The following is a 16,873-nucleotide window of genomic DNA, read 5'->3' as shown; positions in this document are numbered from 1 at the left end:
CTGCTTTATCCTCATCACTATTTCTTTTTAAGCATAGGTTATAACCACAGGCTTCCAGCAACAGGGCTTAAATAGTATGGTTAAAAAGAGCCCTGGATTGAGTTAGAGACCAGCCTGACCAACATGGAGAAACCCTGTCTCTACTGAAAATACAAAATTAGCCGGGCGTGGTGGCGCATGCCTGTTAATTCCAGCTACTCAGGAGGCTGAGGCAGGAGAATCGCTTGAACCCCGGGAGGCGAAGGTTGCGGTGAGCCGAGATCGTGCCATCGCACTCCAGCCCAGGCAACAAGAGCGAAACTCCGTCTAAAAAAAAAAAAAAAAAGCCCTGGATTATGTGTCAGAAAGTTTCCGTGGACCAAGGCCACTCTTAACAGGCTTGGAGCCGTTGAATAAGTCATTTGATTTATAATCACAGCTTCCTCTTGGAGTGAATTTGAGAAAACAACACCCGTTTGTTGAAAAACAAACCAAGATCCAGCATGGATCTCGCAGGCTGTAAGGGGCTCTGCTGTTACTTAGAGCCTCCAACTCCCAACTGTGGCTTCCTTCCTAGCCAGATCACCACACCTCTTAGTCTTGGTTTTTTTTTTTTTTTTTTTTTGAGACAGAGTCTCGCTCTGTCACCCAGGCTGGAGTGCAGTGGCGCGATCTCGGCTCACTGCAAGCTCCGCCTCCCGGGTTCAGGCCATTCTCCTGCCTCAGCCTCCCGAGTAGCTGGGACTACAGGCGCCCACCACCAAGCCCGGCTAATTTTTTTGTATTTTTAATAGAGACGGGGTTTCACCGTGTTAGCCAGGATGGTCTCGATCTCCTGACCTCGTGATCCGCCCACCCCGGCCTCCCAAAGTGCTGGGATTACAGGCATGAGCCACAGCGCCCGGCCTTGGTTTTTCAAGTCTAGAGTCAAGACAACAGCAATCTCCAGGCCATGCTGGGAGGATTCTGGAGGTAGGGCACCTAACGTGCTCAGCTCAGGGCTTCTAGAGAAGTCAGAGCTAATTCCAGACCTGGATGGAAAGCTGTGGGGAAGAAGAGGCTACGAGGGGGAAATGAAGTGGGTTGTGATCGTTTAACAAAAAATAGCTGGGAAAAAAAGTAATAGGAAACTATAAGAGAAAGCTGGTCTTTTTTTTTTTTTTTTTCTTTTGAGACGGAGTTTCGCTCTTGTTGCCCCGTCTGCAGTGTAATGACGCCATCCCGGCTCACTGAAGCCTCTGCCTCCCGGGTTTAAGCAATTCTCCTGCCTCAGCCTCCCGAGCAGCTGGGGTTACAGGCATGTGCCACCACACCCGGCTAATTTTTGTATTTTCTTTTTAGTAGAGATGGGGTTTCACCATGCTGGTAGGCTGGTCTCGAACTCCTGATCTCAGGTGATCCGCCTGACTCGGCCTCCCAAAGTGCTGGGATTACAGTCATGAGCCACACCGCGCCTGGCTGAAAGCTGGTCTTTTCAAGCTCAGTCAAATAACTTTGAGGCAATGCAAGACTGAGCAAAGTTAAATAGCAGCTCAGTTACTAGGCGGAGTCGAGGCCTTAAAGGCACTTTCCGCCTGCGTTTGCACATGAAAAGATATCTGACAACTCCAGGCTTTCCAAGCCAGGGTCTCCGGGAGAAGCCAGAGCTGGAGAACCTCATTCGTTTTAAGTCTAATTTTACTGTTGCAGAAAGTTACCCTGGAGTTGAGGATTGAGTGTATTCTATAAATGGGATATTATGAGAAGCTAGAACAGCAGCCCAATCTCCGTGCCCGAGGCTTTGTTTGTTGTTTTCACCTTTCTGGATGGAGTTTTGCTCTTACCCTCCCGACCTCTATCGCTCAGAAAGTCCTTGATAGGATTTTGAAGTTACAGGAACCAAAAATTACTGCCATAGGTAGAATACTTCCACAAGGGAGACCTCAAGCTTCTGATCACTAAGAATAATTACATGAAAGAATATAGCCTCCCTTCTTCCGATAATTGCAATATGCTGTTCAATCAGAACAGAGTGCAAAGAAACAGATCCTTTACGCTGTAGGGTCCCCAGGGCCTGGGATTACAGTCTCCCTATTTCTTCTGGAAAACCACAGCCTACAGGTAACTACCCTCTATTTGGCCAATCTACTACCAGGTGCAGAAAGACTATTTACAAGTGACGACTCTCAAAGGCCTACATTTAAAAATAAGGAAAACAGAAAAGTAGCTTTGAGTTTGGCAAAACCTGAATTTACTTAGTAGACCTGTCTTTAATATCAGAAGATGGGTTTTCATAGAATGGCAATATGGATCTACTACTTTTCTACATGGCCCAGAGCTTCATTTTCAATTTTACCTATTATCAAATGAGGTTCATACCTCACAGGAATGTTCATACCTCACAGCAACTAATTAAATAAAATACATTTCAGGCTGTGGACGGTGGCTCACGCCTGTAATCCCAGCACTTCAGGAGGCTGAGGCAGGTGGATCACATGGAGTCAGGAGTTTGAGACCAGCCTGGCCAACATGATGAAACCCCATCTCTACTAAAGATACAAAAATTAGCCGGGCTTGGTTGTGCATGCCTGTAGTCCCAGCTACTCAGGAGGCTGAGGCAGGACCCAGGAGGTGGGGGTTGCAGTAAGCTGAGATCGCACCACCGTACTCTCGCCTGGGTGACAGAGTGAGACTATGTCTGGAAAAAAAAAAAAAAATTTAAATGCCAGACAGTACCAAGTACCTTATCAAATTCTGGAAACATTTTCCCTTGCCTGAAGGAACTGAGAAACATAAACCATTAAGTCTGAAGTGAACGTTGTTCTTTCCTACAAAGTTAAAAGTTGTAACTGAGATACAGAAGGATACTAATGATTTAGAGACAGATGGAAAACCCTCGTGCCCAGTAGGCCCATCATGTAATGAAACAACATACAAACATGCTATTCTTTGAAAAAAAAAAAACCTTTGAAAACAGAAATCTCATGACCAAATGACTCATTCAACATTTTTTGGTGTACTTACTTTATGCCCGGCACTGTGCTAGGTTCTGGAAATATAAAACATCCACGCAGCCCATTTGAGTACCAGCCTATTGGACCTTAAACTGCTGTCAGCGATTTAACAGAGGTAACACGAGAAGACCAGCTCCCCGCAGTTTCCTCCCTCCACCAGTTTCCCAGCACGCTGACCTCCACCTACCTCTCTCAGTTCCCAGGAGGGTAAGATTGCCCAGAGGCGTCCAGCAGTGAACACAGTAAGCCTGTTTAAGGTAAACGCAGTTTAACCCTAGCGTTTTAAGTGGAATAACAGAGGCTGGAATGTGAAAGTGGGAAGGTCTGTTTGCTTTCAGTCCCACCCCCAAGGCCTGCCCTAAGAGTCTGAGACAGGAGAACACACGTCTACAGAGAGCCTGCCTAGAGTCTGGATTTTTTAAGCTGCTGGATACCAGGTGCTACCTGACACCAGCTCATCCCCTGCCTCTAGAGTCCTGGAGGGCTTTGAGTTGATCACTTTCCACTCCAGGAATGTTATAAGAAACCGCTCAGAAAGGTAACTGCCCTGGGTGTAACTGGGTTTTTCATGAGGACACTCCAAGATAGACCTCAGGATAATTATTTGGGTGTTTTCCTAAGACTACCCTCCATTTTGCCCCCTTAGAGGCTGCTTTTTCAAGAGGGGAAGTTTTGGATTCCCTCACAGACCCCTCGTGTTTAAGGTTCCACTCTTATGTTTAGTTATTGGTAGGAAATCTTATAGTCTCTGCCCCAGGGTAACCTCTAACAGATTTAGATATGTGTTCTGCTCAAATGCTACCCACACTGGGGAAGGGGAATCCTAAGGTGGCAGCAGAATTTAGTAGAAAATGCCCTGGGCATTTTCAGAAGGCAAGTTCTCTCCTCTCTAATGCAAGCTGTATATCTTGAGCAAGTCACTTCCTCTCTCTGAACCTCTGGCTTTTCCTAGGCCAGGCAAACGGGCTCTTTACATACCCTTTCAGGAATGAACTGATTCCTGTCCCAGGAAACAAGCTAGTCATACCGTGCATTTAGCCATATCCCTCTCTTCTGCCAAACACTTTGCAGTCAGAAGCAGCTTATAAAATTCAGTGGGGATAAAGCAGGGTATGGTGGTGTGCACCTGCAGTTTCAGCTACTAGGGAGGCTGAGGCGGGAGGGTTGTTTGAGCCCAGGAATTCTGAGACCAGCCTGGGCAACATAGTGAGACATCAACTTAAAAAAAAAAAAAAAAAAAGAAAAAATCCAACTGAGTTAAAAAAAATTTTTTTCCAGTCATAAAGCCAGGATAAACTGAAGAAATAGCAAATCAACTTTTTTTTTTTTTTTTTTTTTTTGTGACAGAGCCTTGCTCTGTCACCCAGTGCAGTGTCACAATCTCAGCTCACTGCACCCTCTGCCTCCCAGGTTCAAGCAATTCTCCTGCCTCAGCCTCCTGAGTAGCTGGGACTACAGGCATCCACCACTATGCCCGGGTAATTTTTGTATTTTTAGTACAGAAAGGGTTTCACCATGTTGACCAGGATGATCTTGAACTCCTGGACTCAAGTGATCCACCCCTCTTGGCCTCCCAAAGTGCTAGGATTACAGGCGTGAGCCACCACACCCGGCCCAAATCAATGATTATTTTTCTTTTCTTTTTCGTTTTTTTTTTTTTTGAGACCGAGTTTTGCTCTTGTTGCCCAGGCTGGAGGGCAATGGCACGATCTTGGCTAACCGCAGTCTCTGCCTCCTGGGTTCAAGCAATTCTCCTGTCTCAGCCTCCGAGTAGCTGGGATTACAGGCATGCGCCACCATGCCCTGCTAATTTTTTGTATTTTTATTAAAGACGGGGTTTCTCCATGTTGGTCAGGATGGTCTCGAACTCCCGACCTCAGGTGATCCACCCACCTTGGCCTCCCAAAGTGCTGGGATTACAGGTGTGAGCCACTGCACCTGTCGTCTGTTTTCTTTTTCTTTTCTTTTTTTTTTGAGATGGAGCCTTGCTCTGTCACCCAGGCTGGAATGCAGTGGTGCAATCTCGGCTCACTGCTACCTCCGCCTCCTGGGTTGAAGCAATTCTGTCTCAGCCTCCCAAGTAGCTGGATTACAGACGCCTGCCACCACGCCCGACTAATCTTTTGTATTTTTAGTAGAGACGGGGTTTCTCCATGTTGGTCAGGCTGATCTCGAACTCCTGACCTCAAGTAATCTGCCCACCTTGGCCTCCTAAAGTGCTGGGATTACAGATGTGAGCCACCCCGCCTGGCCAAATCAACAATTCTTAAAATGACCTATTTTGAAAAGACTAAAAGAAGCCCAACTGTTTTAACAGCATTTATTTTAGAGTTTTAGGATTATGGTAAATTTTACTTTCTTCTATGTATTTTTTTCCTATTTTCCACATTTTATAAAATGGTCATGAATTATTTTTTTCTAATTGGAAAGGAACAATTTTAATGGTCGTGACTGGTTATCTTCTCCCTCATCTTACGCTGCATTGTGTGTGTTGGGCCCAGATCTACAATTCAACTTCCTCATGAGCGCATGAGTCAGCATTTCTTCATGGCCTGTCATTCTGTACTGTTTGCAAAAGTATGAAAAATAGAGACCAGCCCATGGGAATTTTGCTGGAGAGGTAAATAAAATGCTCCATACAATTCTATACCTTTTACCAACCAAAGAATAAAATCATCAAATATCCAAGTATACATCAGTATTTTACAAACCCAGACTTTAGTGATGAAGGTAGGGAAAAAAGGATGACTGTCCTGGAGATTCAAGACGGGGTCTACTTATTGGGAAAGAGCCAGTTAAGTCAAATCATCGCAGCAACGGGTGATTTTTTCCTTGGCAAATTACCTAATTATTTCACTATTTCATTATGCCTATTCAAATGATCTCAGTCCTTGCCAGCTCCTTACAGCCTCCATTCTTTGCTGGAAATACCCTTATCCTTTCACCTCCTGGCCACCCAACCTGTTCTTCTCCATCACAAACAATAGAGCATTGAAATTCTGTGCCTGCCACCCAGAAAACTGGCAACCCACAAAGAACAAGAAAAATGGCTAACATACCTTTAAAATATATTCATCTTTAACAAATTATAAATAACAAGAGTAGCGCAGTTCTTTTTCTGTTTAATTCAAGTAATTTTTTAAAAGAAATACATTAGGCCAGGTGCGGTGGCTCACGCCTCTAATCCCAGCGCTTTGGGAGGCCGAGGCGGGCAGATCACTTGAGGCCAGGAGTTCGAGACTAGCCTGGCCAACATGGTGAAACCCCCTCTCTACTAAAAATACAAAAAAAATTAGCCCGGTGTGATGGCACATGCCTGTAGTCCCAGCTACTTGGGAGGCTGAGGCAGAAGGATCTCTTGAACCTGAGAGGCAGAGGTTGCAGTGAGCTGAGATAGCACCACTGCACTCCAGCCAGGGGGACAGAGAGACTGTCTCAAAAATAAAATAAATACATTAGAATACCACTGTTAGCAGACGTGTGATCACACACTGGTGGACTGATGGAAAATTAGAATATATTTTGGAAAGCAATTTTGCAATATGTATCAAGAATTTTAAATGTGGCTATCTTTCAATCCAGTGAATTTTAATTCCAAAGACAATAATACTAAAATGTGGCGAAGCTTATGTGAAAAGATGTTACTTACTTTTGATGTTATTCAGTATTGACTAAAATAACATTTTACACAGTAAAAAACTAGGAACGAGGCTGTAATCCCCTCACTTCAGGAGGCGGAGCCAGCCGGGCCAGCGGCTCATGCCTGTAATCCCAGCACTTTGGAAGGCTGAGGCGGGCGGATCACAAGGTCAGGAAATCGAGACCATCCTGGCTAACACAGTGAAACCCCGTCTCTACTAAAAATACAAAAAAATTAGCCAGGGGTGGTGGCGGGCGCCTGTAGTCCCAGCTACTCGGAAGGCTGAGGCAGGAGAATGGCGTGAACCCAGGAGGCGGAGCTTGCAGTGAGCAGAGATCACGTCACTGCAGTCCAGCCTGGGCGACAGAGTGAGACTCCGCCTCAGAAAAAAAAAAGGAGGCGGAGCCAGTAGGATAGTTTGAGCCCAGGAGTGTGAGACCATCCTGGGCAACATAGCGAGACCCCACTTCTACAAAACATTTAAAAATTAGGTGGGGCGCAGTGGCTCAAGCCTGTAATCCCAGCTACTCAGGAGGCTGAGGCAGGAAAATCGCTTGAACCCGGGAGGCAGAGGTTGCAGTGAGCCGAAATTGTGCCACTGCACTCCAGCCTGGGTGATAGAGCAAGAACCTGTCTCAAAAAAAAAAAAAAAAAAAAAAAAAGGAAAAAACGAACTATTGAGGAATTGGTAAGCAAACTATGGTACATCCATACTATGATAAAATACAATATGTCATATTTTTAATCACATAGGGAAACTATTATGATATAGTGTTAAATGAAAGTAGCAGGATAAAAAAATTACATCATCAGTATAACCTAACTACATGAAGCAATACACAGAGAAAGAGGTAAATAATGCTAAAATGCTAACAGAAATTACTTCTCAGTTTTGTATAATGCGTAGATTTTACTTTCTTGTTTATGCTTTTGTTTTTCCCAGAGTTTCCGCAGTAAGATTGAATTTTATAATAAGAAAAGAATGTTTTAAAATGTTCTGCCCACGGATAACTAGTAGAGGATTTTAAAATTTTATACGAAGGATGACTTCCTGAAGACTCATGAAGGCTGGCCCACAGAGGGTTTCTACCCATCAATCCAAGTGAGGCCAGCATGTGGACATGGCCCAAACACAGTTGACAGACAGTTCACCTGGAAGATGGTTCTGAATTCTTGAAAAAATTTTTTTTTTTTTTTCAGAGATGGAGTCTCGCACTCTCGCCCAGGCTGAAGTGCAGTGGCGAAATCTCGGCTCACTGCAAGCTCCGCCTCCTGGGTTCACGCCATTCTCCTGCCTCAGCCTTCCGAGTAGCTGGGACTACAGGCGCCCGCCACCAACCCCGGCTAATTTTTTTTGTATTTTTAGTAGAGACGGGATTTCACCATGTTAGCCAGGATGGTCTCGATCTCCTGACCTTGTGATCCGCCCGCCTTGGCCTCCCAGAGTGCTGGGATTACAGGCATGAGCCACCGTGCCTGGCCAAATTCTTGAAATTCTTAATGGATTTTTAAAACTTTTTTCATTTGGAGAAATTTGCATTATTTCATATTGTTCTTATAGAAATTTTATTGACATTCTCAGATCTCAAACTTTTCAAATGCGTGTAATATAGATTCACAGAAAATGAGATTATAATGAATAATCCAATCCATATTGAAGATACTGAATTTCTAGACAACATATTATCATTGCTTAAAAAAGAGTTTTGGGGGCTGGGCGCAGTGGCTTAAGCCTGTAATCCCAGCACTTTGGGAGGCTGAGGTGGGCGAATCACCTGAGGACAGGAGTTCGAGACCAGCCTGACCAACATAGAGAAACCCCGTCTCTACTACAAATACAAAATTAGCCGGGCGTGGTAGCGCATGCCTGCAATTCCAGCTACTCGGGAGGCTGAGGCAGGAGAATCGCTTGAACCCGGGAGGCGGAGGTTGTGGTGAGCCGAGATTGTGGCATTACACTCTAGCCTGGGCAACAAGAGCGAAACTCCATCTCAAAAAAAAAAAAAAAAAAAAAGTTTTGGGTGTCATATCAGAGATTCAAAGATCTCAGAAAGACAAACTTCACATATTCTCACGTTTGTGGGAGCTAAAAGTTAAAATAATTGAACTCATGGAGTTAGAGAGTAGAAGGATGATGAGCAGAGGCTGGGAAAGGGAGTAGGGGTATGGAGGGAAAGGGGGAGGGTTAATGGGTACAAAAACAGAAAGAATGAATAAGACCTAGTATTTGCTAGCATAACATAAGTCAAAAATAATTTAATCGTACATTTTAAAAGGAATAAAAGTGTAATTGGATGGTTTGTAACACAAAGGATAAATGCTTGAGGTCATGGAGACCCCGTTTACCCTGAAGTGATTATTTCACATTTCATGACTGATTCAAAACGTCTCATGTAACCCATAAATATATATACCTACTGTGTACCAACAAAAAATTTAACAAAACATAACATACAATGACAGCAGAAATTTAATAAGGATGTTCTATAAGCTAACAGTCTATTTAGTGACACATAGAAGCATAATTTATTTTATTTATTTATTCATTCATTCATTGAGATGGAGTCTTGCTGTGCCACCCAGGCTGGAGTGCAGTGCTGCAATCTTGGCTCCCTGCAGCCTCCACCTCCCAAGTTCAAGTGATTCTCCTGTCTTGGCCTCCTGAGTAGCTGGGATTACAGGCCAGTGCCACCACACCTGGCTGATTTTTGTATTTTTAGTAGAGACAGGGTTTCACCATGTTGGCCAGGCTGGTCTCAAACTCCTGACCTCAAGTGATCTGCCTACCTCGGCCTCCCAAAGTGGTGGGATTACAGGCATGAGCCACCGCACCTGGCCAGAAGTATATTTTATATTAATTTATTGAAACATATGGAAAGCAGTCAACAGGATATTCATTAAGTCTAGAAACACAGATGGGTATACATAACTTCATCAAGACCATTTTCAATGTGTAACACACACGTGTGCGTGCACTCACAGAGTTTAGACTTTATGTAGATTGGAAATCAAGTTCCACATACCTGGAATCCTACTGAGTGTCACCCAGAAATGCTCATCAGGAGAGTCAGTATCTTTTGACCACTCAAGTAAATCAATGGCCCTTAGGTTTTGAAGAACAAAATTAGCAAATTCCCTTGTAAGGGCCACATAGGCAGAGCCAAAGTAAATTGTCAGATGGTGGGGAGGAGGCATTTTTCTCATGCAAGTCCACAGCATGAAGGAAAACAAGCTATCTCTGCTCCAAGTGCATGTATTTGGTCCTTCTGATAATATGAGGAGGAGGCGGCACCCCGGGGGTGATATTTTTCCTTTTCCGTAACCTCAGATACTGAACGTATTTCCCTGTTGGTTTTCAGGGGAATTCTTGCCCACAGGTGTTGATGACGTACTTCCAGGGAACCTCAGAGGCCACAAGGTCTTTCAGGCAGTGCAGGTCAGCCTGGAGCCTGGAGATCCCTGTGTAGAACAGAGACTCCCTCTCAGAAGCCACAGAGACGTTTGTGAAGCAGCTCAGTAGCTTTCTTACAGCGTCTTTGAAAGTGACTGGGGCCTTCTGATCCACATGAACACAGTAGATGTTTTGGGGAGTGTAGATGGCCCTCAAGAGTCTTTCAAATGTATCAGTCTTTGCGGATGACCATGACATAGGCCAAAGGGAACTCGGCTTCGTCTTTGGACACAGGTTCCATTATGCAGTGATTTCGGATCAAGTATCGCTGGCAGGTTATTATTTCTCAATGGCGTCACTGGTATATTTTCATCCAAGAACATTTTCTTGCCTGTCACAATCATGCCACACACTTCTGCAAGGACTGAAGAGTTTGAGATCTTCCCCCATGGAAGATATTTTTGCGGGACCTAATAGTTACTATACAGGAATAAAAGAGTTATGGACGTGGCCATAAGCCCTAGGACCAACCCAAATGCCTCTACCTTTATTTTTCCTATGGTCTTTTCTGGATTCATCATTCACCTGATTTTATGCCATTGCTGAAGTCAGTCTGCAGGTCCCTGCCCAGACTTGAGAAATGTGCTCTAGCAACTTATTTGCAGCAAGAAGTGCAATATGACCATTTACTTAAAAGAAGGAGGATCAACCACAAGTCGGTAGCTCTTCTATTTAAAAAATCAGGTGACTCTTTGAACATGAGCCAGTGGGGCCAGCTGACCACTTCACAAAAGCCAGGCACAGTTGGGCACCTCTGTCTAGGTCAACCACAAATTAAGACCCTAGCAAATCGGCCACAGCTGCCAGCTCAGGGTGTTTTTCCCATGTGGAGTACAGGTGGAATGTGTGTTCATTTGGCACCTCTTTTTCCCATGCAGAGCCACCATCACCATCACTGATGTCACCTTTGAATGCAAGGGACACTATATTTCTTCAACTTCAGGCAATCACAGTTGTCCTGAAGTAGGTCACCATTTACGTGGACAGCACCCAGAACTCCTCGATAGTGGGGTCTCTTTACTTAAAAATAAAGATCAAGAATTTATAGTATTTCAGGATTGAAAGGAATCTTGCAGATTATTCTCACCAATTGATTCAGTTACAAATAAAGAACACTGACAATGACCCATAACGACTATTCTATCACATTTTGTCTCCATTTTCTCACTGATGGCCTGAGAGGTAAGCATTGACATTATATCCACTTTGCACATGAAGAAATTACGCCCAAAGATATGCTAGCTTGCCTGATATCCAGTAATGAGTTAATGGCAGCCTGGGGTTTTCAAACCTAACTCTTCTTCTTCTTATCTTAGAGTTGGGGTCTGGGTCTGTGCCCAGGCTGGAGTGCAATCACTGCCACATCAACTTCCTGGACTCAACCCATCCTCCTGCCTCAGTCTCCTGAGTAGCTGGGACTACAGGTGCCAGCCACATTGCTTGCCTAATTAAACATAAGATTTTGTTTCTTTTTTTTTGAGACAGAGTTTCACTCTTGTTGCTCAGGCTGAAGTGCAATGGTGCGATCTCAGCTCACTGCAACCTCTGCTTCCCAGGTTCAAGCAATTCTCCTGCCTCAGCCTCCCAAGTAGCTGGGATTACATGCACCCACCACCACGCCCAGATAATTTTTGTATTTTTAGTAGAGAAGTGGTTTCACCATGTTGGCCAGGCTGGTCTTGAACTCCTGACCTCAGGTGATCCACCCGCCTAGGCCTCCCAAAGTGCTGGGATTACAGGAGTGAGCCACCTCACCCAGCCTTAAAAAAATTTTTTTTGGGGCCGGGCGAGGTGGCTCATGCCTGTAATCCCAGCACTTTGGGAGGCCGAGGCAGGCAGATCACCTGAGATTGGGAGTTCGATACCAGCCTGACCAACATGGAGAAACACCATCTCTACCAAAAATACAAAATTAGCTGGGCATGATGGCACATGCCTGTAATCCCAGCTACTAGGGAGGCTGAGGCAGGAGAATCGCTTGAACTCGGGAGGTGGAAGTTGCAGTGAGCCAAGATCACACCATTGCACTCCAGCCTGGGCAACAAGAGTGAAACTCCGTCTCAAAAAAAATAAAATAAAATAAAAAAATAAAAATCGTTTTTTTGTAGAGACGGGGTATCACTATGTTGCCCAGGCTGGTCTTGAACCCCTGGGCTCAAGGGACCCTCCTTCCTTGACCCCCCAAAGGGATTATAGGCATGAGCCACTGTGCCTAGCCTCAAGCTTATCTCTTCTCACTGCATAGGCCATCTACCTGGAATATTCTCTCCCCCTGCCTTGTCTTGAGTTCCTACTCATCTTTCAGGTCCCTATGTGACACTGCTTCCCTGGTGACCCTTCCTTGCTCTTCCAAGTCTGGGTTAGAAGCCCTTCACCTGCCCTAATAAAACCTTGTACTCCTACAATTGCTTGTTTGTTTGCTCTACCACTAGTCCATGGAGGACTATTTATTTTTAAAACAAAAAGTTAATATTTTATTTTTAAATGTATGATTTACAGGTGGTAATTATACGTATTTATGGGATGCAGCATGATGTTCCAATACATGTATACATTGTGTAATGATCAAATCATGGTAATTAGCATATCCATCACCTTAGACATTTATTGTTTGTTATCAGAACATTCAAAAACTGCTCTTCCAGGTATTTTGAAATATACAATGCATTATTATTAACTGTAATCCTCCTCCTATGCAGTAGAACTCCAGAGCTTATTCTTCCTCTCTATCTATAGCTTGGCACCTGTTGATCCATCTCTCATCACCCCCCTGCTCCTTTCCCTTCCCATTCTCTGGTAACCACTGTTCTATTCTCTACTTCTATGTGGATTCCACATGAGTGAGATCATGCAATATTTGTCTCTCTGTGCCTGGCTTATTTCACTCAACATAATGTCCCATGGAGAACTATTTCGGTCTGCTGGTCACTGCACTTTCAACACCTTGCTTATGGTAGGCACTCACCGAATTAAGTTTAGCCACCCTTCTTTCCTCTATACCAGAGATCAGCAAAACCACAGCTGGGGGGGTCCAGTCTGGCTCGCTGCATGTTTTTAGACAATCTCTCAGCTAGAATGGTTTTATATTTTAAAATGGTTGGGAGAAAATCCAAAGAAGAAAAATGTTTTGTGACACATGAAAATTATATGAAATTCAAATTTCGGTGTCCATAAATACAATTTTATTGGAACACAGCCGTCCTCATTTGTTTACACAGGGCCTATGGCTGCTTTCACGTTACAATGGCAGGGCTAAGTTGTTGCCACATCTGACCACCGAAGCTTAAAATGTTTTCCATCTGGCCTTTACCAGAGAAGGTTTGCTGACCCTCTCCTCTGTATCTACGGATGTCCCTTGTATACCACTGTGCTTGCACTACATCAAGACAGCGATTGTGGACTTGATACCATTTTACAACTTTTTGCTTTATTTTCAAGATTTCCTCGTGAATGCCAGAATGACACGATATTTGGTAGCAAAGCATGAGCTTCAAAGAGAGGTTTGCGTGGGTCTAGATCCTGGCTTTGCTAGTTCCTAGTTGTGTGACGTTGGGCAAATCACTTTTCCTATCTGTCTTAATTTCTTTGTCAGTAAAATAAAGATAATACCAGTAGGGCTGTTTTGTGAGTTGATGTGTTAATAAGTAGAATGCACTCTGAGCAGTATTCACGCATAGTGAACACTCTGAAATGCTAGCTATTCTCACTGCACACGATCGCTTCTAGGGGCTACCTGTACCGCCAGTGAACTGGAAACTCACCCCACTGCACTTTGCCTGACACCGAGTGGCCCAAGCTTTGGCGAGAGGCAGTGCTGCCACACAGTGGCTCTATATGGGGTGGCTTGGCACACTCTTCCTTTTTTTTTTTTAGGTGATTGCAAATCTATGGATGAGACCAAGGGAGAATTTTCACGCCATCATAGCATTTTATTCCTCACCTGACTGGGAGCAGCTCGAAGGGAAGGACATGTCTCCAAAGACATGAGGAGTATTCAACGTGGCATTCGAGGCGCAAGGAAAAACCTGCCTATCCCAAGATCTCAGCCCCATCAGCCAGCCAAGGGATCCACAATGACCCTTATGAAGTTTCATAAGGAAGCTAATTGCTTAAATGAGATTTGAGTCAAGAAGGATGACCTAGCAATAACCTCTATATATCTCATTATGCCGTAAGTAACCAATAGAGGTTCTAGAAAATGCCATCCAATAGAGGTTCTGGAAAAATGGGACAAGAGACAGGTTAGATTAGATGGAAGAAAAGGCCTTCCATCTAAGCAAGGCCTGGCATGTGGAATGCTAGTGGGGGCCCTCTGGACTGTGCTGGCAGGGCAGGTAAAGCAGCCAGGAGAGAATGTGAAAGTGGAAAGATGCCCCGGGGTGACGTGCCATCACTTAGATTTTATTTATTTATTTAGAGACGAAGTCTCCCTCTGTCACCCAGGCTGGAGTGCAGTGGCGCGATCTTGGCTCACTGCAACTTCTGCCTCCCAGGCTCAAGCGATTTTCTTGCCTCAGCCTCCCAAGTAGCTGGGACTACAGGTGTGTGCCACCATGCATAGCTAATTTTTGCACTTTTAGTAGAGACAGGGTTTCACCATGTTGGCCAGGCTGGTCTCGAACTTCTGACCTCAGGAGATCTGCCCAACTCAGCCTCCCAAAATGATGGGATTACAGGCGTGAGCCACTGCACCCAACCAGGTTATTTTCAGAATTAGAGATGAATCTTAAAAATCAAAATTTCCCCAGTGTCCCAGACACATTCAAAGCAAAATTACATAGAGGTTCGGCATCCCTAGTCTGAAAATCTGAGATCTGAAATGCTCCAAAATCCAAAACTTTTTGAGAGTTAATGTGGCACCATCAGTGGAAAATTCCACACCTGACTTCATGTGATGGGTCTCAGTCGAACAGCAGCCAAAACTTTGCTTCTTGGACACAATTATTTAAAATAGTGTATAAAATTATCTCCAGGCTATGTGCATAAGGTGTATATGAAATATAAATGAATTTCATGTTCAGACTTGGGTCCCATCCCCAAGACATCTCATTATGTATATGCAAATTTTCCAACCTAGAAAAAACTTGAAATTCAGAACACTTCTGGTCCCAAGCGTTTTGGATATGGGATACTCAACCTGTAGTTTCATTTTAATTATTTTGATGTAACTTAACTGAGCATCAAATTTTAAATTTTTTTTTTTTAATTAGAAAACTTAAATGGCTACATAAGAGGACAGTCCAGTGACAGACATGGAAAGAGGCTTAGAGGTCATCTCATTCATCACACCATTTTACAGAGGAAAGCAAAATGCCATCCAGAGAAGGAAAGTCACAAAGCCATCTAACCCCAGACCTGGGAGTAGCAGCTGATCACAGCGGGTCGGACACAAGAAGCTGCTTCCAAAAATCTTTCCTTCCATTTGTCCTACAGAGAAGACATCAGAAAACAAAATTTTATAAGCATGTCTCTAGCTCTAACTCACTATTCAACTAAAGGACAAATTAAATAGGGAATGAGATAACCTTAACTTCATGAGATTTGTTCTTATATGCAGTTTTCTACCCTGAGAAACCAATCTATGCTAAAGATAATATTTGTGCTTTTCAATGAGGCTGGTAAAATATTTGCACTTTGAAGCTCAGAGCGATAACATTTATTCATTCGGGTGAAACTTATCAGGATTAGGTAAATATAATCGAAGCAAAACAAAAATGATTTGGGAAACTTTGTGACCAAAACCAACAGGCGTATTCAGTACTCCTTTGAAGGTCACCTAATTCTAATAACATTTATATTTATAAATGTCCTCTAAGTCTTTTATCTTCTGCAAATAAATTATTTCTCACAATTACAGGTTAGTCCAATACATCAGCCTATTTTCAGAGTCCAGAGTTCTAACCATTACACGATGGAACCAGCCTATTTTCAAGCACATACTCAGTGTCTCCAGGATGAGGACACATTGTGGGGCTTTTCACAACTTCTCTCTCCCATCACCTGCCCCTCTCCTTCCATATTTAATATATTGTTGCATTTCTGTCAAATTAGCTGGAAGAGTAGTGTTTAATCAGGTGTACACACTGCCACAGTAACCTGGAAACTTCAAATTCTACCCCTAATCACTAATGTTGAAGACTTGCTAAAACAGGTTTTTTTGTTTGTTTGTTTTGCTTTTTGAGACGGAGTCTAGCTCTGTTGCCCAGGCTGGAGTGCTGTGGTGCAATTATCAGCTCACTGCAACCTCTGCCTCCTGGGTTCAAACAATTCTCCTGCCTCAGCCTCCCGAGTAGTTGGGATTACAGACATGTGCCACGATGCCCAGCTAATTGCTTGTATTTTTAGTAGAGATGGGGTTTCATCATGTTGGCCAGGCTGGTCTCAAACTCCTGACCTCAAGTGATCCTCCTGCCTCGGCCTCCCAAAGCGCTGGGATTACAGGCATGAGCCACCGCGCCCACCTAAAGTTTTAAAAATTGTGTAAATAACACCTACCATAAAATTTACCATCTGAACCACCTTTGAGTGTGCAATATAGTGTTAACTATATTGCATATTGTTGTATGACAGATGTCTAGAACTTTCTCACCTTTGCAAAGTTGAAACTTCATACCCATCAAAGAACAACTCTCCATTTCCTCTCCCCCCAACTCCTGGCAACCACATTCTGCTTTTTGTTTTCATGAGTTTGATTACTTTAAATACCCCATGTTCGTGAAATCATGCAATATTTTTCTTTTTGTGACTGGCTAATTTCACTTAGCATAATGTTTGCTAATCATCTTTGACATGCACTGGTCTACCCAACAA

General features: G+C 43.8%; 1 protein-coding gene, 1 long non-coding RNA gene and 1 pseudogene across 10 annotated transcripts in view, besides 5 other annotated features; 1 reads left to right on the top strand and 2 right to left on the bottom strand.

Annotated features, from left to right (window-relative positions):
- GCNT2 (glucosaminyl (N-acetyl) transferase 2 (I blood group)) overlaps positions 1–3,226 on the bottom strand; it is a 108,018-nt gene extending 104,792 nt beyond the window's left edge. For 6 of the 8 annotated variants that reach the window (XR_926136.3, XR_002956275.2, NM_145649.5 and 3 more), the window contains exon 1: positions 3,160–3,226. The gene's annotated coding sequence lies outside the window, so the exon portion shown is untranslated. Of the gene's footprint in view, positions 1–2,982 lie in introns of all 8 variants that reach the window. The other 2 variants (XM_006715052.4, XM_047418633.1) reach the window with 1 other exon arrangement.
- Positions 2,880–2,939: an enhancer, noted in NCBI's record as "active region_23967". NCBI's record gives its function as "activates an Ori minimal core promoter by ATAC-STARR-seq in GM12878 lymphoblastoid cells {active_cell/tissue: GM12878}" and the evidence as "EXISTENCE:reporter gene assay evidence [ECO:0000049][PMID:35858748]".
- Positions 3,171–15,917, top strand: LOC101928146 (uncharacterized). 2 transcript variants are annotated; one of them, XR_001743961.2, is made up of 3 exons: positions 3,171–3,229; positions 13,937–14,234; positions 15,274–15,917. It is a non-coding gene; the product is annotated as an uncharacterized LOC101928146 (long non-coding RNA). The 2 variants fall into 2 exon arrangements; XR_241974.4 differs by lacking the exon at positions 3,171–3,229 and adding an exon at positions 3,308–3,510.
- Positions 4,660–5,355: an enhancer, noted in NCBI's record as "H3K27ac-H3K4me1 hESC enhancer chr6:10519455-10520150 (GRCh37/hg19 assembly coordinates)". NCBI's record gives its function as "activates a minimal SCP1, AML or CMV promoter by ChIP-STARR-seq in naive H9 embryonic stem cells {active_cell/tissue: H9 hESC(naive)}" and the evidence as "EXISTENCE:reporter gene assay evidence [ECO:0000049][PMID:30033119]".
- Positions 5,435–5,579: an enhancer, noted in NCBI's record as "145 bp enhancer 266 fragment used in the MPRA reporter construct; PK_construct_3935". NCBI's record gives its function as "activates an SV40 promoter by MPRA in HepG2 cells {active_cell/tissue: HepG2}" and the evidence as "EXISTENCE:reporter gene assay evidence [ECO:0000049][PMID:23512712]".
- Positions 5,502–5,512: a transcriptional cis regulatory region, noted in NCBI's record as "NFE2L2 motif; enhancer activity is reduced when this motif is scrambled". NCBI's record gives its function as "necessary for full MPRA enhancer 266 activity {active_cell/tissue: HepG2}" and the evidence as "EXISTENCE:site-directed mutagenesis evidence [ECO:0005528][PMID:23512712]".
- Positions 5,595–6,095: an enhancer, noted in NCBI's record as "H3K27ac hESC enhancer chr6:10518715-10519215 (GRCh37/hg19 assembly coordinates)". NCBI's record gives its function as "activates a minimal SCP1, AML or CMV promoter by ChIP-STARR-seq in primed H9 embryonic stem cells {active_cell/tissue: H9 hESC(primed)}" and the evidence as "EXISTENCE:reporter gene assay evidence [ECO:0000049][PMID:30033119]".
- On the bottom strand, positions 9,631–10,392 carry LOC100422564 (glucosaminyl (N-acetyl) transferase 2, I-branching enzyme (I blood group) pseudogene; annotated as a pseudogene).

This window comes from Homo sapiens, chromosome 6, assembly GCF_000001405.40.
Source record: "Homo sapiens chromosome 6, GRCh38.p14 Primary Assembly".
Classification (NCBI taxonomy): domain Eukaryota; kingdom Metazoa; phylum Chordata; class Mammalia; order Primates; family Hominidae; genus Homo; species Homo sapiens.
Note: the sequence above shows the minus strand (reverse complement) of the source record. Positions and strands in the feature narration are given on the sequence as shown.